Raw genomic sequence first — 22,907 nt, 5'->3', positions numbered from 1 at the left:
CCCGTCCTGCCCTAGTGCATCCACACGCTCCTGCCCATTCGCCTCTCCTCTCTTCCTCCCAAGACCACCACCGTCCGCTTTTCCTTGCCTATCAAGTGCGCCTCTGCCTGGCCTTGACACGCACGGAGTCTACACTCAAGTGGCTTTTCCCTGTATTTTCCACTGCCCTCGAGAGGTGGGTTTTTTCGCTGCCCGAAGCACCCGCTGACCCCCAGCGACATCTCTATGAGCCCCGCCCGCAGACACGACCCAGCTGAATGAAGCCTGAAGCTCAGTGGCCTTCAAATTGTCTGTTTCTAAAAGAATTTTGGAAAACTGCATCCTCTCATGCATTTTAAAGATGACATCTAAAATTCTCCATCCTAAGTCTAAATAGATGTAGAGGATGTAACTGTTACTTAAAAATCAGCGGTTGTCGTAGGCAGCTTCTAAGATGTGTTCTAGGATCCCACCCCCTGGGAGTCACGACCTTCTGAATCCTCCTCGCGGAGTGTGGGATGGACCCAGAGGCTTGGTTCTAACAATAGAATATGAATAGAAGAAGACAAAAATGATGGGATGTCACTTACAAGATTAAGTTACAAAAAGATCCTGACTTCTGTCTTGCCCAGCCCCTCCCTCTGAGCTCCTAGCTCTTAGGGAAGCCATGCTGGGGCCCAAGTGGCAGAGAATGAGAAAGGCCTCTGCCCAGTGCAAGACACTGAGATCTTCATTTCATCATTGCCATTATTAGTACATAATTGATAAAAAATAATGTAAATATAATACATGTTAATAAGTAATTAAACATGAATTACTTGAAATTCATTTTATTCCTAATTAGTTGATGTATCTGTGAACAAATATTGCTTATTCATAGAACAAAGCAACATTCAGCATTTAAGAAATATTTTATTTTTCTTCTTTTTTTTTTTTTCTTTTTGAGATGGAGTCTTGCTCTGTCATCCAGGCCGGAGTGCAGTGGCGTGATCTCGGCTCACTGCAAGCTCCGCCTCCCGGGTTCAGTCCATTCTCCTGCCTCAGCCTCCCGAGTAGCTGGGACTACAGGCACCTGCCACCACGCCCGGCTAATTTTTTGTATTTTTAGTAGAGACGGGGTTTCACCGTGTTAGCCAGGATGGTCTTGATCTCCTGACCTCATGATCCGCCCGCCTCGGCCTCCCAAAGTGCTAGGATTACAGGCGTGAGCCACCATTTTTCTTCTTTTTAAAACATTGAGACAGGGTCTCACTATGTTACCCAGGCTGGTCTTGAATTCCTGGGCTCAAGTCATCCTCCTGCCTCAGCTTCCCAAAGTACTAGGATTACAGGCACGAGCTACCACCCCAGGCTAAAAATATTTTAGATGTAAGCCTTAAAAAATTGCTTACATAAATAATTATATTTGTCTCATCAATTCTTTGAACCCGTTTTCAGTCATATGCAAAGATCACATAGCCATCTTGTCACCTTTTTTTTTTTTTAAATAGGGTCTCACTAAACGGCCCAGGCTAGACTCAAACTCCAGGGCTCAAGAGGTCCTCTCATCTCAGCCTCCCAAGTAGCTGGGATTACAGGTTTGCACCACTGTGCCCAGTCAAATATTTTTGATTTGGCAACTGACAACTTGATTGGGTCCTCCTTCAATTTTAGTAAGGCAATATTTGGAACCTACCTCACTTGCAAAAAAATAGATGTCTATCTATCTATCTATCTATCTATCTCTGTATATCGATATGTGTATATACCTATCCTGTGATCAGAGTCCTATTACACAATGGTATCTGGTACTGTTGCTATGTCTAGTGCCCAGGGGCTTTTTAAATTTTATTTTATTTTATTTATTTTTTTTCTGAGATGGAGTCTTGCTCTGTCGCCCAGGCTGGAGTGTAGTGGCAACCTCCGCCTCCCAGGTTCAAGCAATTCTCCTGCCTCAGCCTCCTGAATAGCTGGGATTACAGGCACATGCCACCACGCCCAGCTAATTTTTGTATGTTTAGTAGAGATGGGGTTTCACCATGTTGGCCAGGCTGGTCTCGAACTCCTGACCTTGTGATCTGCCCTCCTCAACCTCCTAAAGTGCTGGGATTACAGGGGTGAGCCACTGCTCTGGGCCCCCAGGGGCTTTTTTACACATTCTAAAATGTGTCCCCCAAATTTCACATGTTAGAAACTTAATACCCAGGACTGATGAGAGGCCTACCTTTCTTTTGAAAGTGGGAGAAGGACAAGTAGGAAACAAAAGTGTGGGGAAGGAAGGGAGCCTCCACCCACACCTGACATCTTCACAGCTGGTACCTTTCCTGGCAGGCAAGTGTCTGGAAGAGGACATGGGGATGTTGAGATTCTGGAGGTCCATTCCCTTCAAATCTATTCCCTTCAAGCCAGGGCCAGCAAGTTTTTTTTTTCTGGAAAGTATCAGATAGTAAATACTTCAGGCTTTGCCAGCCATATAGTTCTGTCCCAACTATTCAACTCTGCCCTTGTAGAAGCCATTGACAATATGTAAACAAAGGAGTGTGTCTGTGTTCTAATAAAACTTTATTTATGGACACTTACATTTAAATTTCATATAATTTTCATTTGTCCAAACATATTATTTCCCTTTTGATTTTTTCCCCTGACCATTTGAAACTGTAAAAACCAACTTAGCTCCCCGGAGGGTACAAAAACAGGCAGTAGAACAGATTTGGGCCATAGGCCCTAGTTTACTGATGTGTGCCCTAAACTTTCCAAGGCGTGCCCCTTGGAAAGTCTTCATGTAACCTCAGGGTAATGTGTACTCTCATTTGAAATTGCTATCCTGGTTCTCAACTCTGCCTACGTATTAGAATCCCATGAGGTGCTTTTTGAAATACCAGTGTACAGCCACACCCTTCCACACTGATTCTGTTGGTCTGCGATGGGGTCTGGGCATAAGTATTTTTGAGTTTCCCAGATACATCTAATGTGTAGCCTGACCTTGGACCACTGTTCTAATTGCTATAGGCTCTGCACACCTCTCAGGGCACAATGCTGCTTTGTGCTGTTGTTACTGTATTTCATCCAATGATCCAAAATCATTGAAAGATAAAGCCTAATTTAGGAATTTTAAAATGTAGAAAATGGGTGTCTTCAACTGGATGAAATATAGTTTTTCCCTATCTGTAAGATTGGTCCTCACTGATGGTAAGTACCCCGGCTTCCTCACTCCTGTGTTGCTCTCACCTGCAGTGCTTGGCTGGGTGTGAGGTGGTCTGTGAATACTTGCCAAGCGCATGTCAACATTAGGCTGCTTTGCTTATTGCTTGTTCTCTGGGTTCTTACTTTTCCCCTGACAGAGCCTCATCCTGAGGAGATAGTAGATATCCAAAAAAATTTTTTTTGATTCATTGACTGATTATACAAGGAGCAATAGATTGATGTCAGGAATCAGAGTCAGGGATTGGAGAACTTGGTGGTGTCTTTGGCTATGAGAAAAGGGAAATGGCCACGGATTTCATTCCAGGACAGTGAGAGAGGGGACAGAATATCCTTTGCCATGAGAAAGATGGGGTTAGGAGCTAGTCTCTGATTGACTGAGCTTTCTGTGTCCATTCTCTGAAATGATGTTGTTTATTTGACTTTTCCTCTGTGTCCTCTGCTAGTATATAATCTCAGTGAAAGAAGAGACTGCAAATCATTTTTCACCATTGCTATTCTTTGAATGTATCCCCCAAATTTCACATGTTACAAACTTAATCCCCAAATTCATATGTTGATTGGAGGTGAGGCCTTTGGGAAGTAATTTGAATGAGATCATCAAGGTGGGGGCCTCCATAATGGGACTGGTGTCTTTATATGAAGAGGAAGATAGGCAGGGCACGGTAGCTCATGCCTGTAATCCCAGCACTTTGGGAGGCCGAGGCAGGCAGATCACTCGAGCTCAGGAGTTCATAGACCAGCCTGGGCAACATGGTGAAAACCTGTCTCTACCCAAAATACAAAAATTAGCCAGACGTGCCTGTAGTCCTAGCTGCTCGAGAGGCTGAGGCTTGAGCCTGGGAGGGAGGCAGAGGTTGTGGTTTGCTGACATTGTGCCACTGCACTCCAGCCTGGGAGATGGGAGTGAAATCCTGTCTCAAAAAAAAAAGAGTAACAGACCTGAGCTGACCTGCACACTCTTACCCTCTCTCCCTATGATCGCCTCTGCCGTGTTTTGACACAGCAAAGAGGCCCTCACCAAATGCTGGTGCCATGCTCTTAGACTTCCTGGCCTCTAGAATTGTGAGCTAAATAACATTTTTTTTCTTTATAAATTACGCAATCTATGGTATTCTCTTATAGCAACAGAAAACAGACTAAGACAACCATATTCCCAGTGCTTAGAACAGCCTCTGTCTCACAGGAGATGATCAATAAACGTGTTTTGAATAAACTGTTGAATAAACGTGTCAACTGAGATTTACTAAGTTCAAGAGGGGTTTTTGTGGGCGGAATTTTTTTCCTTTTTTTTTTTTTTTCCCCAGACAGAGTCTCACTCTGTCACCCAGGCTGGAGTACGGTGGCTCCATCACAGCTCACTGCAGTCTTAACCTCCTGGGCTCAGGTGATCCTTCTGCCTCAGTCTCCCAAGTATGTGGGACCACAGGTATGCGCCACTATGCCTAATTTTTTTTTTATTACTTGTAATATGTAATATCTGTGTTTCCCAGGCTGGCCTCAAACCCCTGGGGTCAAGAGATCCTCTCACGCCTGGCCTCAGAAATTTTTTTTATGACAACTTTTATTTTTATTCTTACATTGAGTTACAACACTTAAATTGTAGTTCTTCTCAAGCATTATTTATTATTATTATTTTTTTGAGATGGAGTTTCACTCTGTCGCCCAGGCTGGAGTGCACTGGCGTGATCTTGGCTCACTGCAACCTCCACCTCCCAGGTTCAAGCGATTCTCCTGCCTCAGTCTCCCGAGTAGCTGGGATTCAGGTGCCCCCCACCACGCCTGGCTAATTTTTTGTATTTTTAGTAGAGAGGGGGCTTCACCATGTTGGCCAGGCTGGTCTTGAACTCCTTATCTCATGATTCACCCACCTCGGCCTCCCAAAGTGCTGGGATTACAGGCGTGAGCCACCGCACCCGGCCTTTGTTTTTTTTTTTTTTTTTTTTAGAGACAGTGTCTCACTATGTTGCCCAGGCCGGTCAGCTGATCTCAAACTATGACCTCAAGTTACCCTCTTGCCTCAGCCTCCTGGATACCTGGGATTACAGGCACTAGCCACCATATCCAGTCTTCAAGCTTTTAAATTCAACTTACAAAGCTTGCTAGTTTATTTATTTATTTAGTTGCTTACTTATTTATTTGAAACAGGTTCTAGCTCTGTTATGCAGGCTGGAGTGTAGTGGCACAATCACGACTCACTGCAGCCTCAACCTCCTGGGCTCAAGTGATCCTCTAGCCTCAGCCTCCACAGTAGCTGGAACTCCAGGTGTGCACCACCATGCCTGGCTAATTTTATATTTTTTTTGTAGAGACAGGGTCTCACTATGTTGCCCAGGCTGACCTCAAACTCCTGGGCTCAAGTGATCCTCCCACCTCAGCTTCCCAAAGTACTGGGATTACAGGCATGAGCCACCATGCCCAGCTCCAGTCCATTTATTAATCTGGTAATATTGGTATAAAATAAGAACAATCACTTTTACTTGTTCTTTAATTCATGTGCTATTAACTCATAAATGTAAGAGACTAAATCTTCCTTAAACACTTAACACTACTTCAAACTTGATTCATTACATTTCCTAAGACATTTCAAACCACATCGCAAATTTTATGTGCATGTTTCTCTTAAAAGTTTCAAATGCTGACTGCTAGACTTACAAATTTAATACAAAAATATTTCTAAGCATCTATACAACACCTGAAAAAGCTAATAAATCAAACTGTTAACAAGTTGTAATAAGTTATTAAAGTAATGGCCCTCAGTTTGTTCACACCAATTCTCCTGCCTCAGCCTCCTGAGTAGCTGGGACTACAGGCGCACGCCATCATGCCTGGCTAATTTTTGTATTTTTAGTAGAGATGGGGTTTCACAGTGTTAGCCAAGATGGTCTCGATCTCCTGACCTCCTGATCCACCCGCCTCGGCCTCCCACAGTGCTGGGATTACAGGCGTGAGCCACCGCGCCCGGCCTGCCTAGACCACTTATCTTAGAACACAGGACTTTCCAGAATCCTGATTTTCAGAATGTGGCTGAGAGATGTCAGCGCCATTTTTCTGAGAGGTGAGCTCTTAGCAGAGATAGAAATTGTTTCTTTTCTATTTTTATTTCTAAGAGGAATTAGAGTTAGAGCCAGAGAGAGCTATTTAATTAAAAGGATGGGAGGCCAGTCCAAGGATTGTTAAACTGAAGTCCATAGATAGGCTCTAGGAAGTTTGTAAACACTTGGAAATAATTTGAAAAATGTTTGTGTGAGTGTGCTTTTCTCTGGAAAGAGAGTTCATAAGTCTCATCAGATTTTTGAAATAGTTTTGGCATTAACAAAACTAAACCAAACCACCACCACTACACAACCAAACTACAACACTGAGGCTCTGATAGAGAAATTTTGTGACTCATGCCACACAGGTAGTCAGTGGCAGAGCCCAGGATAAAGAGAGCCAGATGGTGTGCTTGGTAAAGAAGTTAGAAGTTTTTAGCTCTCAGGCTAGGGGGTCTTCCTGTTGCATGAAGCCAGACTGAGAATAATTACATGCAGGAATAGCAATTAAATTTATATTTTAAAGAAAAGGTACATTGGTGGGGTGTGGTGACTCACACCTGCAATCCCAGCACTTTGGGAGGCTGAGGTGGGCAGATCACTTGAGGTCAGGAGTTCGAGACCAGCCTGGCCAACATGGTGAAACTCTGTCTCTACTAAAAATGTAAAAATTGGCCAGGCATGGTGGCTCACGCCTGTAATCCCAGCATTTTGGGAGGCCAAAGTGGGCGGATCAGGAAGTCAGGAGTTTGAGACCAGCCTGGCCAACATGATGAAATTCCGTCTCTACTAAAAATACAAAAATTAGCTGAGCGCGTGGCATGGTGGCGGGCGCTTGCAATCCCAGCTAGTCGGGAGGCTGAGGCAGGAAAATTGCTTGAACCTGGGATGCAGAAGTTGCAGTGAGCTGAGAACGCGCCACTGCACTCCAGCCTGGGTGACCCAGCAAGACTTCATCTCAAAAAAATTAGCCGGGCGTGGTGGCGGGTGCCTGTAATCCTAGTTACTCGGGAGGCTGAAGCGGGAGAATCATTTGAACCCAGGAGGCATAGGTTTCAGTGAGCCAAGATCACACCACTGCACTCCAGCCTGGGTAACAGAGTGAGATTCCGTCTCAGAAAAAAGAAAAGAAAAGAAAAGAAAAGGTACATTGAGATTTGAAGAAACAGAGGAGAGGGTTGTAGGTGACTGACTAGAAATAATGTTACGGGAGGAAGAGTGAATGATGTGGTGAAGGGTATAGAACTATGAGAAAGTCCTTGTCAATCACATGGCTAGAGAATGGTGATCACTGAAAAGGAGGTAAAATATAAAAACATTTGCAGAATATTTCTCAATCGAAAATTTTACTAGGGGTTCTAAAATGGTGCTGCGGAAGCAAGCTGGCTTTACTTCCCCAACAGAAAACTGAAAAGAAACACATAGCACCAAGATCATCACCAGCAATGTTCCAGAACTCAAATATGAAGATGAGAGTTCCTGGGGCCACATATGAAAAAAACTTTGAGACATTGTCAAGAGAATCAGACTTAAAGAAAATTTTTTTTAAAGACGGGGTCTCGCTCTATTGCCCAGGTTGGAGTGCAGTGGCTCACTGCAACCTGTACTTCCCGGGTTCAAGCAATTCTCCTGCCTCAGCTTCCTGAGTAGCTGGGGTTACAAGTGTGCGCCACCACGCGTGGGTAATTTTTGTATTTTTAGTAGAGACAGATTTCACCATGTTGGCCAGGCTGGTCTTGAACTCCTTACCTCAGGTGATCTGCCTGCCTCGGCCTCCCAAAGTGCTGAGATTACAGGTGTGAGCCACTGTGCCTGGCTGAGACTCAGACTTCTATATCCATCATGCCCCTCCCTCAAATCTGCCCCACACCAAGCGTGCAGAAAACTCGCTGACTCATGCATTCTTCACTGGAAAAAGTGAGATCGAGATGGCCAGCCAGCTTCTCCATCATCGTGGGTTCACTGGCAGGAAACCTGTCCCTGACTCAACCCACAGAAAGCAACCCACAGAAAGGTTGAGTCCCTGACTCAACCCACAGAAACTCAACCCACAGAAAGGCACAGAAAGAAAGTGTGCCTGGAATAAGAAATATCCCAGAGGACAGCCAGAGACAGAGTAGGGAGGCAGGACCACCATCCCCAGCCCTGGACACTCTGCTCTAATTTGGCCAAAGGAGACAGCAAATCAGCGTGGCTGTTAAGCAGCACCATGTGGTAGGTTTGTTCCACAGGTCCCCTGGGCACAACCCCTAACCATCCTTCCCACACTACTGAAATGTCCCCTTTGAGACCTCCCTTATCCTGATGGGTGGCACTCTTTTGTTTTGAGATGGAGTCTCACCCTGTCACCAGGCTGGAGTGCAGTGGCACGATCTTGGCTCACTGCAACCTCTGCCTCCCGGGTTCAAGCGATTCCCCTGCCTCAGCCTGCCGAGTAGCTGGGACTACAGGCGCGTGTCACCACGCCCAGCTAATTTTTGTATTTTCAGTAGAGACAGGGTTTCACCATGTGGGCCAGGATGGTCTTGATCCCTTGACCTCGTGATCCGCCCACCTCAGCCTCCCAAAGTGCTAGGATTACAGGCATGAGCCACAGCGCCAGGCCGGGTGGCACTAATTGCTTTCCAGAACCAAGGCAAACCTGGGCTTATGCCACCATCTAGTGTCAAAAAGGAGGCAGTGACCTAGCTGGAAAAAAAGAAAAATAAAATAAATAAATAAATAAATAAAACCAACAGGTAAATTAAAAATAAAAACCCCAAGCAAACATATCAAATAAAAACTGAAACAAGCCAGACAGAGAAGATTGAAATAAATAACAAATCCTTTAATGCAAAGACATAGACTCACATCACAGGAAACAATAGCAAAGAAGGAATCATGACTCCAAATGGACAAAGTGAGGAACCAGTGACTGACCTTAATGAGTCAGCAATCTGTGAACCTCTGACCAAGAATTCAAAATATCTGTTTTGAGAAAACTCAGTGATATCCAAGATAACATACAAAAGTAATTCAGAAATTTACAAGAGAAATTTAATACAGAGATTGAAATTTTGAATAATCAAACAGAAATCTTGGAGCTGAGAAATAAATTCACTCAACTAAAAAATTCATGGCCAGTCGTGGTCGCTCACACCTGTAATCCCAGCACTTTGGGAGGCCAAGGTGCCTGAGCTCAGGAGTTCGAGACCAGCTTGGGCAACATGGTGAAACCCCGTCTCTACTAAAATACAAAAAATGAGCTGGGCATGGTGGCATGCGCCTGTAGTCCCAGCTACTCGGGAGGCTGAGGCAGACGTATTACTTGAACCCAGGAGGCGGAGGTTGCAGTGAGTCAAGATCATGCCACTGCACTCTAGCCTGGGCGACAGAGTGAGACTCTGTCTCTGAAAAAAAAAAAAAAAATCATTAGAGGCTCTCAACCAGCGAAATGAATCAAGCAGAGGGAAAAAACCAGCAAGCTCAAAGACAGGCTTCTAAAAAATACACAGAGGAGCAAAAACAAAAAAAGAATAAAATGCAATAAAAATTGTCTCCTAAATATAGAAAATTACCTCAAAAGACCAAATCTAAGAATTCTTGGTGTTCAAAAGGGAGTTGAGCAAGAGCAAAGGGTGGAAAGCTTATTCAAAATCAAACACGGACACTCAAAAAACTTTCCAAACTTGAGAAAGAGACAAATAGCCACATACAAGAAGATCAGAGAACACCAAACAGGTTCAACCCAAATAAGACTACCAAAAGGCATATAATAACGAAATGCTCAATGGTCAAGGGTAAAGAAAGGATTCTAAAAGCAGCAAGAGAAAAGAAGCAAATAACATATAAAAAAGCTCCAATTTGTCTGGCAACAGATTTCTCAATTGGAACTATACAGATCAGAAGGGAATGGGATGGCATTTTCAAAGTGCTGAAAGAAAAAAACTGCCATTTAAGAATACTGTATTGGAAAAGTGTCCCTTCAAATATGGAGAGGACATAAAGTCTCTTCTGGACAAACAAAAGATGAGAGTTCACTACCACCAGACCTGTGTTACAAGAAGTGCTAAGGAGAATTCTTCAATCAGAAAGAAAGAAAAAAAAAACACTAACATGCAAAAAGAAAATATGTAAAGGTATGAAACCTGCTGGTAAAATTAAGTACATGAACAAACCCAGAATACTCTAATACTATAATTTCAATGTGCAATCTACTCATAACTAGTATGCAGCCCAAAAGACAAATCTATCAAAAACAACAATACCTACAGCAATCTGTTAGGAGATGGACATTATAGAAATACACATACATTGAGACAACATAAAGTCAGAATGTGGGGGATGGAGTTAAATTGTAAAGTTAAACTCTTTTTTCCGTGTTCATTTTTATTTTCTTTAAGCTGTTATCTCTTTAAAATAACCTGTTATATCTATAAAATGTTTTTGGTAAGCCTCATGGTAATCACAATGCACAAACCTGAAATAGATTCATTAAAAATAAAAGCAATGAGTTAAAACATACTACCAGAGAATATCACTTAACCTCAAAGAAAGACAGGACTAAAGAAAGATAGGAAGAAAGAAAGAAAGGAAGCAAGGAGTTACAAAACGATCAGAAAACAAGCAACAAAATGGCAGTAGTAATAATATCAATAATAACCCTGCATGTAAATGGACTCAATTCTCCAATTAAAAGCCATGGGTTGGCTGACAGGATAAAGAAACAAGACCCAACTATATGCTGCCTACAACAAACCCATCTCACCTATAAAGACACACCAAGACTGAAAGTGAAGGGATAGCAAAAGACATTCCATGCAACTGGAAGCCAACAAAGAGCAGGAGTAGTTATTCTTATATCAGATAAAATAGACTACAAATAAAAGACTGTAAAAAGAGATAAAGAAGGTCACTATAGAGCCTTGGACAATACACAACACATGGAAACAAAACAACATGCTCTTGAACAATCAATAGGTCAATAAAGAAATTAAGAAGGAAATTTTAAAAAGTTGAAACAAATGGAAATGGAAATACAACAAGCCAAAATCTATGGGATACAGCAGAAGCAGTAACAAGAGGGATGTTTATAGCAATAAATGCCTATAAGAAAAAAGTAGATTCCAAACACTGTGAAATCAAGAAAAAAAAAGGTAGAAAGACTTCATATAAACAACCTAATGATGCACCTCAAGGCACTAGAAAAGCAAGAGCAAACCAAAGCCAGAATTAGGAGGAAAGAAATAATAAAGATCAGGGAACTAAATGAAATTGAGACTAAAGAAATTACAAATAATCAATGAAACAAAAAGTTGGCTTTTTGAAAAGATAAACAAAATAAACCTTTAGCTAAACTAAGAAAAAAAGAGCAAAAATTCAAATACATAAAATCAGAAATGAAAAAAGAGACATAACTGAGACAATAGAAGTACAAAGAATCATTAGAAACTACATAAACAACTATACACCAACAAACTAAAAAACCTAGAAGAAATGCATACATTTCCGGACATATACAATGCATCAAGATTGAACCATGAAGACAGCTGGGCACAGTGGCTTATGCCTGTAATCTCAGCACTCTGGGAGGCCAAAGTGGGTGGATCACTTGAGTTCAGGAGTTAGAGACCAGCCTGGCCAACATCATGAAACCCCACCTCTACTAAAAATACAAAAATTAGCCAAGCTTGGTAGTGGGCACCTGTAATCCCAGCTACTCGGGTGGCTAAGGCAGGAGAATCATTTGAACCCAGGAGGCGGAGGTTGCAGTGAGCCAAGGTCACACCACTGCACTCCAGCCTGGGTGACAGAGCGAGACTCCATCTCAAAAAAAAAAAAAGATTGAACCGTGAAGAAATAGAAAACTTCAACAAATCAATAATGAGTACCGAGATCGAAGCAGTAATAAAAACTCTCTCACCAAAGAAAAGCCAGGTAAGCATGGGGACTCACGCCTGTAATCCCAGCACTTTGGGAGGCCGAGGTAAGCAGATCACTTGAGAACAGGAGTTCGAGACAAGCATGGCCAAATAGCAAAACCCTATCTCTACTAAAAATATAAAAATTAGCTGGGCGTGGTGGCACATGCCCGTAATCCTAGCTACTCAGGAGGCTGAGCACAAGAATAACTTGAACCTGGGAGGCAGAGGTTGCAGTGAGCCGAGATTGCCCCACTGCACTCCAGCCTGGGTGATAGAGCAAGACTATGTCTAATTAATTAATTAATTAATTAATTAATAAAGCCCAGAACCTGATGGCTTCACTGCTGAATTCTACCAAACATTTAAAGAAGAAATAATATCCTGCCAGGCACAGTGGCTCACACCTGTAATCCCAGCATTTTGGGAGGCTGAGGCAAGTGGATCACTTCAGGTCAGGAGTTCAAGGCCAGCCTGGCCACCATGTTGAAACCCTGTCTCTACTAAAAATGCAAAAATTAGCTGGGTGTGGTGGTGGATGTCTGTAGTCCCAGCTACTCAGGAGGCTGAGGCATGAGAATCCCTAGAACCCAGGAGGTGGAGGTTGCAGTGAGCCCAGATGGCGCCGTTGCACTCCAGCCTGGGCGATGGAGTGAGACTCTGTCTCAAAAAAAAAAAAAAAGAAATAATACTAATTATATTCAAGAAAGTGCTTCAAAAAATTGAAGAGGAGGGAATACTTCTAAACTTATTCTAGAAAGTCAGCATTACTCTGATACCAAAACCAGATAAATACACACAAAAAAGAAAACCACAGGCCAATATCAAGCATAAACATAGATGCAAAAATTCTCAACAAAATACTAGTGAACTTCAACAACATGTTAAAAAATAATTCACCATGATCAAGTAAAATTCATCCCAGGAATTCAAGGATGATTCAACATACGCAAATCAATAAATGTGATACATCACATTAACAGAACCAAGAACAGAAGCCATATGACCATTTCAATAGATATTGAAAAATCATCCAATAAAATTCAACATACCTTTATAGTAAAAATCCTCAGCAAACTGGGTATAGAAGAAACATACCTCAAAATAACATAGGCCGTAGATGACAAACACACAGCTAACATTGTATATTGAAAACCTTTCTTCTAACATCTGGAATAAGACAAGGATGCTCACTTTTCACCACTTTTATTTAACATAATATTGGAAGTCCTGGAAGAGCAATTAGGCAAGGGAAAAAAATAAAGAGTACTAAAATTGGAAAGAAAGAAATCATAGCCTTGTTCACAGATGACATGAACTTACACTTAGAAAAACCTAAAGACTCCACCAAAAAACTGCTAGAACTGGTAAACTAATTCAGTAAGTTGCTGGATACAAACTCAACATACAGAAATTAGTAGCATTTATATATGTCAATGGTGAATAATCTGAAAAAAGAAATCAAGAAAGCAATCTCATTTACAATAGCTACAAAAATATGAAATACATAGGAATCAATTTAGACAAATAAATGAAAAATCTTGATATGGTTTAGATGTTTGTCCCCTCCAAATCTCATGTTGAAATGTGACCTCCAGTGTTGGAGGTGGGCCTACCCGGAGGTGTTTGGGTCACGGGGATGGAATCTTCACAAATGACTTGGTGTTGTCCTGCAGTAATGAATGAGTTCTCACTCTATGACTTCATGCGAGATCCGGCTGATCAAAAGAGCCTGGCATTTCCTCCCGCTCACTCTTGCTTCCTTTCTCACCATGATTTGCTTGCTCCCTCTTTGCCATATGCCATGATGGGAAGCTTCCTGAGGCCCTCATCAGAAGCAGATGCTGGTGCCATGCTTCCCTTACAACCTGTAGAACCATGAGTCAAAATAAACCTCAGGAGGGACCACTCTGGAAGTAGACCCAGCTGTTCTGATGCAATTCAGAAACTCTAACTAAACTGAAATCTGTAACTCATCTCAGTTCCAAATTTTGGACTGAGCAGCCCCAGCCAAACTGAGACAGTAATTCTGATCTCCTTAAAGTGGTAAGCATAGGAAAATGCTGTGAAGGTGTAGAAATAAGCATTGTGATAAGAAAAATGTCTACCAAATCCGTGATATTACTACTTTGCATTAGGTTTAGAAAAAAACTGAAATCATCATGGTAATTTGTATGTATTATTTGTTTCTTAAGGCATCTGAAATATTTTGGAGAATGTCATGTTAGAGAATCTGGCATATTATGATTGTGATATTAATTTGAAATAGTTAAGAGGATTTGATATTCATCTTGTGACTTATTTTGAAATATTAAAAAAGTTGAATGATAATAGATTCGAATATTTTTAAATGTGTAAAATAATTTGATTATTTTGTAATCAGTATTGAGATTTTTCCAAATAATTTGATTTATGAAAATTTTAAATTAAGACTTAAGTTCTGGGTAAGGAATTTAAACGCTTAGGGTGGTTCTGTCATAAAGAAACGAAAGCTTGTCTTATTAGGACTTTGATGAGAAGGTAGGGTACATTATGTTGATGACTATGGTTTGACGTGCCCAGGAAACCCAGTTATCCAATTTCATTAACATATCTTCCAAAAACAGATGTTAAATACCTTTTAAAGAACTCTGCTGTTAGCTGCTAAGGTTAAAAACTTAAAAATTTTCAGGCTGGGTGTGGTGGCTCATGCCTGTAATCCCAGCACTTTGGGAGGCCAAGGTGGCTGGATCACCTGAGGTCAGAAGTTTGAGACCAGACTGGGCAACATGGTGAAATCCCATCTCTACTAAAAATACAATAATTAGCTGTTGAACCCTAGAGGTGGAGGTTGCAGTGAGCTGAGATCATGCCACTGCACTCCAGCCTGAGCAGCAGAGTAAGACTCCGTCTCAAAATAAATAAATAAATTAATTAATTAATTAATTAATTCACAATCAAAGTGATTTGAGGAATGGGGATAAGCGGAAGTTCCCTTGTGTTTGCTGGAATCTGAAAGGCTTTTTGATGGAGTGACTTTTGAGAAGGGTCCTGAGGAATGAGACAGTGGGTGAAGGGGGAGAAGGGCATTTTAGGCAAAGGAAAGGCATAGAGTTTTTTCAGGGGATGCAAGAGGTCTAATGTGACTGGATTGGCTGATGGGTTACAGCAGGGGAGTTGGGCTGTGAGGAGCCATGGGTGTGTGTTGGGCAAGAAGGAGACATTTTGATTTCACAAATACTTATGGAGCGTGATGAGCCATGCACAGCACAGGCACTAGACTCAAAAGGCCACAGGAGGGAGAGCTTCAGAGGCTCCACGGGGCCTTTGACAATGCTGAGGTGGGGATCCAAGTCAGATCCCAAGGAGAAAGTGGCTATTGTGGAGGTGGAGCTCCCATGCAAAGCAGGCCTGACTTAACAAATCTTAAAAATAGCAGAAAAGCCAGTTTCAGTGTGGGGGCTCGAAGGGGCAGCAGAGGAACCCCCTTGCAATTCTGAGTAGAGTTTTGCGTGGCCATGACCCTTTCCTCTGCCTCCCACACATCACATTCTTGTCCTCTCTTCATGTTTTTTAGCCACTCAGGCTGTAGCTCTGTTTGTTCAGCACAGGTTTGCAGATAAGCTCAGGAAACCTGAAGCCCAGGTGACAGGGGAGGAGAGGAACCCAGTATTTGCTGAGCACCGACCAAATGCCAGGTCCTGGTTGTCTTGTTTAATCCTTACAACCCCCTGTGAGGTGGGCATTTTATAGAAGAGCAAACAGGCCAGAGGAGTTGAAGTGCTGTCACGCATTGCTTAACGGCAGGGATAGGTTCTGAAAAATGCATTGCTGTTGTGGGAATATCAGCATGTACTTCACAAACTTAGATGGTAGAGCCTACTCCACCCCGGCTAGACAGCATAGCCTACTGCTCCCCGGTGGCAAACCTGCACGGTATGGGACTGTGCTGAATACTGTAGGCCGCTGCAACACAGTGGTAAGTATTCAGGTATCTAAGCATAGCTAAACATATAAAAGGCACAGTCAAAATACGGTTCTAGGCCAGTGGCTCACGCCTCCCAGCACTCTGGGAGGCCGAGGCGGGTGGATCACTTGAGGTTAGGAGTTTGAGACCAGCCTAGCCAACATGGCGAAACCCCATCTCTACTAAAGTTACAAAAATTAGCTGGGCGTGGTGGCGCATGCTTGTAGTCCAGCTACTCAGGAGGCTGAGGCAGGAGAATCATTTGAACCCGGGAGGCAGACGTTGCAGTGAACAGAGATAACGTCACTGCACTCCAGCCTGGGCGACAGAGTGAGACTGTGTCTCAAAAAACAAAAAACAAAAAACAAAATACGGTATTATCACCTTCTGGGACCACCAGATGGGTCCCTCATTGACCAAAACACAGAGTGGGACTGTAATTTGCCCAAGGTCATGTTTTGAGGAAGATGGCAAAGTTCTTCCCACTTTCCCACACCTGCACTACTCCTATTCTTGGATCTCCTGGAGGTCTTCAGTTCCTTGAACCTTCCTTTTTTTTTTTTTCCCTCCCAGTCTTACTGCCCGCTTTGGCCTCTTTTCCTTTTCTACCCAGCCTAAATTCAAGGTTGGTGACAGGGACTCTCACCAGTGTCAAACCAGGCAGACCACCTCTGCTGACTGGGGCTTGGGACTGTGACAACGCCCACTGGGAGCCCTTGGGGTCAGGGGTTCCACAGTGCACAATTCCAGGAAATGCCATCACTGATGTAGTCCATGTGAATGGCATCTCCTGGCGTTATTCAGTTTACAGCCTAAGCCCCTGTATGCCAGGTCCCTGCCAAGGCTCTTTCCTTCTTCCTTCCCTCCCTCCCTTCCTTCCCTCTTCCTTTCCCCTTCCCCGTTTTCTTTCTTTTCTTTCTTGCCTTCCTTCCTTCTTTCTCTCCTTCCTTCCCTTCCTTCCTTCCTTCCTTCCTTCCTTCCTCTCTCTCTCTCTCTCTCTCTCTCTCTCTCTCTCTCTCTTTCTGGAACCAGTAAACAAGATGGGGAAAGGACATATGTGAGATCAAGGCTATGGCCTACATGATAGGACCTGGCTACCTGGTGCATCCTTGCTCCTTACAGAAGCACAGCTGAAGTTCATTCTCCTTTTCTGTTTTTTTTGTTTTTGTTTTTGTTTTTGACGGAGTCTCGCTCTGTTGCCCACGCTGGCGTGCAGTGGCGCGATCTCGGCTCACTGCAACCTCTGCCTCCCTGGCTCAAGCGAGTCTCCTGCCTCAGCCTCCTGAGTAGATGGGGTTACAGGTGCCCACCACAACACCCAGTTAATTTTTTAATATTTTTAGTAGAGACGAGTTTTCACCATGTTGGCCAGGCCAGTCTTGAATGAAATTCATTATTATATGCAGTCTGTACAGAGCAAGAAATCTTCCAGGCCAGGGAACCAGAAGCATAGGCCTGCTGCCTTTCACACACTTTTTTTTAGGCTAACAGGTACCAGAAACCCAGAGCCTTCTATTTTGTACAAATCTCTAGTGAATGTACTTCTCAGTCAGGGCTGTGGGGACCAAACCTTCCCCAACCTGATGCATGCCATCCTGCAGCTCTCCAGATGGGTGGGATGCATGGGTGTGGTTCCCCTCAGAGTGTCTGACTATGGGGTGACAGCTATGTGGTCTGCCTTTATATCTGACTGACAGTTTCCTTATCATGTCCCTTAGCAAGATTTTTTTTCATCCCCTTGCAGTTCTTTTTCTTTCTTTCTTTCTTTTGACAGGGTTTCGCTTTTGTTGCCTAGGCTGGAGTGCAATGGCACCATCTTGGCTCACTGCAACCTCCGCCTCCCAGGTTCAAGCGATTCTCCTGCCTCAGCCTCCCAAGTAGCTGGGACTATAGGCATGCACCACCACATCCAATAATTTTTTATTTAGTAGAGATGGGGTTTCACCATGTTGGTCAGGCTGGTCTCGAACTCCTGACCTCAGATGATCCACCCGCCTCGGCCTCCCAAAGTGCTGGGATTACAGGTGTGAGCCACCGAGCCCAGCCCCTCTTGCAGTTCTTCCAGTGTTCCTAATCAGCCCTCATGGGTGGGGCTCGCAGGTTCACGCTCTCCTGGCTCCCAGATACCGTGGAAGCCACTGCCAGCTCAGGACGCTGTGGCAGTGAGATTTTCAGCAGTGGCACAGGGCCGGCACCCAGCATGAGACTCCTCCCTCCCTGATTCTCTGGGGAAATATTTGATTGCAGAGGCCAACGGATGACTGTCTACTCCCCTTGCAGCAATATCTTCATTAGATTGCAATTTGTATTGTCCTTGATCTCCCTCTCTTTATTTTTAGAGATGATGTTTTGCCATGCTGACAGGCTAGTCATGAACTCCTGGCCTCAAGCGATCTGCCTGCCTCAGCCTCCCAAAGTGCTGGGATCAGAGGCATGAGGCACTGTGCCTGGCCTTGTCCTTGATCTCTTTCTGCCACCCACTCTGTTCTCTGGATGCTCTGAAATGACCTGTCAGGCTGCCCATCCTTTGGTGAGGATAGGCATTACATTAGTTGGATGTAAATTTGGCTGGGGCAAAAGAGACCCAGAATAAATTGGTTTAAAACAAGAGAACTGGTTTTCTTCTGTGTGTAGAAGTTTGAGTTGGTATGGAGGCTCTGCTTCACAGAGCCATCAGTGGGCCAGGCTCCTTCTATCTTTCCATTCCACCTTTCCAGGGTCATGTCCTTGTCTGTGTGTGGGGGTGGTATTCCAGCCAGTGGGAAGGGGAAAGAAAAAGAGAAGGAGAACACTTTCCCTGTGAGTGTGTGACCTGGAAGTGGTGCGAAGCACTTATGTTCACATCCCATTGAGGAATGTTTCTGTCTGTGAGAGAGAGTGGGAAGTGTGGTCTTATTCAGGGGAGCAGGTGCCCACCTAATCATTCTAGTCTCTGCCACAGGCCAGTTCCGTAGTGTTGGGCTGTGCTCTCAGGACCTCTGTTTCCACAGGCTGGGCTTGCAGGCTTCCCTCTGGTTGTGCAACAATATTACTGCCTCCTCCCGAGAGCCTGGTGACATCTCCTCTGCCAAAGATTCTCTCCTTGTCCAAACTTCGGCCGGGCTCCTCTGAGCCCCCTTCTCTATTAGGCCTCAACCTTGGCTTATAAGGACTTGAACAAACACTATCATAGTCTCTAACAGCTCACCCCTGTGATGACCTGAGGGCCCCTGTCACCGCCTGCCTAAAGTGCCTACTTGAGAAAACTCAAGGCTGTCAGAAGAATTTACTGTTTGTTCCAGCCAACAACTGAAGACAGGGCCCCTGTCTTCCAGTCTCTGGGAATACAGGAGCCTAACTTCAATAAGCCCGTCATCAAACCCAGATGGGTTTCCCATGGACAAAGCCCTCTCCCCACATTCTATAATTTCTCACTTCCATGACTTGCTTACCCTCTCCCTATCCCCTCATTCTTTATTTATTTATTTATTTAGAGATGGAGTCTTGCTCTGTTGCCCAGACTGGAGTGCAGTGGTGGGATCTCGGCTCACTGCAACCTCTGCCTCCCAGGTTCAAGCAATTCTCCCACCTCAGCCTCCTGAGTAGCTGGGACTACAGGCTGTGTCACCGCAGCTGGCTAATTTTTGTTTTTTGTTTTTTTTGGTAGAGATGGGAAAAAAAATGTTAGCCAGGCTGGTCTCAAACTCTTGATCTCAAGTGATCCGACCACATTGGCCTCCCAAAGTGCTGGGATTACAGGCATGCATGAGCCACCACACCTGGTCCCCTCATTCTCCCTTGAAAGCACCCAGTCACCTCTGCACAAATCAAAATCAGCTCGTGCTGGACTCCTTTCCTGATTGCAATAGTGCATTACTGGCAAAAATCTGTCCTTGTCATTTACTAGTGTCCGGCGTTGTTTGTCATTGACATGTCCCCCCATCCTTCCCTTGGCAGGGCTGGATTTCAAGATTTTGAAATCTTGAATCAAGTCAAAGGAATGAGAAAAAGTTTGAGAGAGAAAGTAGGACCAGGGAGCCATCGTGAGGGTGGAAGCTGCAAAGGCCCCGAGCTCTGGGAGCCCACACTATTTATTGGTGCTCAAACAAAGAAACAGGTGGTGAGAATGTGGAGGTTGAAAGGAAACAGTATATCAAGTGAATGAGAAACATATGACTGCTTGAGATAATGGGAGTGCTAGAAGCAAGGAGCCAGCAAGTCTAGCAGACATGCAAGCCCTGCCTTAGCTTCTCTCCCAACACTCAGCTTTTCTCCCAACAGGAAGCTGCTGGAACATTCTTGTACACATTGTATTGTAGAAATCTGCTTTCATTTGTCTTGGATAAACACCTAGGGGAAGTATTACTACGTCCTATGTTTGACTTTATAAGGAACTGTTAAACTGCTTTCCACAGTAGCTGTGCCATTTTGTGTGTCTGCCAGCAGCACGTGACAGTTCCGCCTGCCCTGCAGCCTTACCAGAAATCTTTTGATTTCACCTCTTCTAGTGGGGATGCAGTTATTGTATCATCGTGGTTTCAATTTGCATTTCCTTAATGAAGTACGATGTTCCACATCTTTTCATGAACTTTTTTGCCATTTTGTCTGTCTTCTCTGGTCAAGTGTCTGCTCAAACCTTTTACCATTAAAAAAGTTTAACTGGGGCCAGGCGCAGTGGCTCACTCCTGTAATCCCAGCACTTTGGGAGGCCGAGGCGGGTGGATCACCTGAGGTTGGGAGTTCAAGACCAACCTGACCAACATGGAGAAACCCCATCTCTACTAAAAATACAAAATTAGCCAGGTGTGGTGGTGCATGCCTGTAATCCCAGCTACTCCGGAGGCTGAAGCAGGAGAATCGCTTGAACCTGGGAGGCGGAGGTTGCAGTGAGCTGACATCACACCATTGCACTCCAGCCTGGGCAACAGAGCGAGACTCTGTCTCAAAAAAAAAAAAAAAAAAAAAAAAAAAAAAAGTTTAACTGGGCTGGGTGCGGTGGCTCACAGCTGTAATCTGAGAACTTTGGGAGGCCTAGACAGGTGGATCACTTTAGGTCAGGAGATCAAGACCAGCCTGGTCAACATGGCAAAACCCTGTCTCCACTAAAAATACAAAAATTAGCCGGTCGTGGTGGCACGTGCTTGTAGTCCCAGCTACTTGGGAGGCTGAGGCAGGAGAATCACCTGAACCCAGGAGGTGGAGGTTGCAGTGAGCCAAGATTGCACCACTCTACTCAAGCCTGGGCGACAGAGCAGAACTGAGTCTTAAAAAAAGAAGTTAAACTGTTTTCTTATTGATTTATAAGATATAAGCCAGCTGTAGTGGTGTGTGCCTCTTGTCCCAGCTACTTGGGAGACCAAGGCAGGAGGATTGCTTGAAACTTGAGCTCAGGAGTGTAAGGTCAGCCTGGGCAACATAGTGAGACTCTGTGTATAAAAGATAAACAAAAAATTTAAAAATGCATGTGTATCTCACTGTGCCAGGCTGAATGATGGTCCCCCAAAGATGTTCACATCCTAATCTCCACAACCTGTGAATTTCTGACCTTACCTGGCAAAAGGGACTTTGCAAATGTGATTCAACTAAGGATCTTGAGGGGGGAGATTATCCTGCATTACTTACGTGGCTCTGGTAATGTAATCACAGGAGTCCTCAAAAGAGGGACTCTGGAGGGCCAGAGTCAAAGATGGAGATGTGGCCACAGAAGCAGAAGTCCATGTGCTATGGGACCATAAGCCAAGGAACTCATGATGCCTCTAGGAGCTGGGAAAGGCAAGGGAGCCACGTCTCCCAGGAGCTCCAGAACGAGCCAGCCGTGCTGACACTGTGACTTCAGCCTGGCTGAGGCTAACTGTGGACGTCGGGCCTCTGTAACTGTAAGATGGTTAACTTTATGTTCGTTTGTGGGATTATGCAGGCACTCTCTGTTTAGTGGAGGACTTGAAGCTATCTCTTCTGTGCTGCTTCTGTTCCTACCATTGTTCGGGGTGGAAAGGAGCAGGATAATTCAGGTGGTGGGGACGGTGTGAGGAAGTCCAGGTAAACATGAGCGTTGCAGCCCAGGGAGCAGGCGAGTCTCAGTTACAGCAGAATGTGTGGGGAGAGTGGGAGGTAAGGCCCATTGGGTGGATCCACTAGGCTTTGGAGGCAGAGTTTGGGCTGCAGATGGTGAGAAACCACGTAGCAGTTGGCGCACTTAGGGATTTGTCAGAAGGGTCAGGGCCACTGGCCCAGGCAGGAGCAGGTGCTGGGGAGACAGCGCTCACCTGCCCCCTCACTGGGCTCTGATGGGAGGCCTGCCTGGTGGGCTGTTCATTATTATTGAACAGTGCTCCCCAGCTCCATGGACCAAGCTGCTTTTGTGAGTGAGGGGTGGGGAATCCAGGCCAAGGCCATCTCATCTCTCAGGGACCCTCTGGCTCATTGGACAGCTCCATCTCAATATTCTCCAAATTGTTGCTGGCCTCGCTGAGGACGTTCTGAGCTGGTGCTATCATCCTGGGCTGCACTTCACTCCAGTCCACCCACACTTTACTCTATTATCCTGCACCCTGAAAAGGTGTTATCGAAGGGGGCCTTGTGCATTGGAAGCCAAGTGCGCCTCTGTCTGGGAGCTGCAAAGTATGCAGTGGTCGTCTTTGCTGCTTCTGCCCCAGTGCCACACTCTCAAGAGTGAGAACATGGGCAGGATTGTCAATGGCTTCACTCCCCTGTCTCGCCACTGGGATCTCTGGCTGATGCTGGTCCAAGGATTCAGGATGCCTCCAGACCATGGGACAATGAATTTTCCGTTCTGTTTTCTACTTCTTCCCAGCCTAGGGCAGTTCAAAGCCAGCTTCTTTCAGGAAGCCTGCCCTGATAGCGCCACCTAACTAAAAACACTGATTT

At 44.6% G+C, this 22,907-nt stretch overlaps 3 annotated features.

Moving 5' to 3' along the window:
• Positions 7,458-7,627: an enhancer, noted in NCBI's record as "experimental_62270 CRE fragment used in MPRA reporter constructs". NCBI's record gives its function as "activates a minimal promoter by MPRAs in K562 erythroleukemia cells, with activity observed for the introgressed 22:17557308 variant allele {active_cell/tissue: K562}" and the evidence as "EXISTENCE:reporter gene assay evidence [ECO:0000049][PMID:34662402]".
• Positions 8,788-8,847: a silencer, noted in NCBI's record as "silent region_13428". NCBI's record gives its function as "represses an Ori minimal core promoter by ATAC-STARR-seq in GM12878 lymphoblastoid cells {active_cell/tissue: GM12878}" and the evidence as "EXISTENCE:reporter gene assay evidence [ECO:0000049][PMID:35858748]".
• Positions 19,927-20,221: a silencer, noted in NCBI's record as "tiled region #13635; K562 Repressive DNase matched - State 19:H4K20". NCBI's record gives its function as "represses a minimal TATA promoter and a strong SV40 promoter by Sharpr-MPRA in K562 cells {active_cell/tissue: K562}" and the evidence as "EXISTENCE:reporter gene assay evidence [ECO:0000049][PMID:27701403]".

The sequence above is a fragment of the Homo sapiens genome, chromosome 22 (genome assembly GCF_000001405.40).
Source record: "Homo sapiens chromosome 22, GRCh38.p14 Primary Assembly".
Classification (NCBI taxonomy): Eukaryota; Metazoa; Chordata; class Mammalia; order Primates; family Hominidae; genus Homo; species Homo sapiens.
Note: the sequence above shows the minus strand (reverse complement) of the source record. Positions and strands in the feature narration are given on the sequence as shown.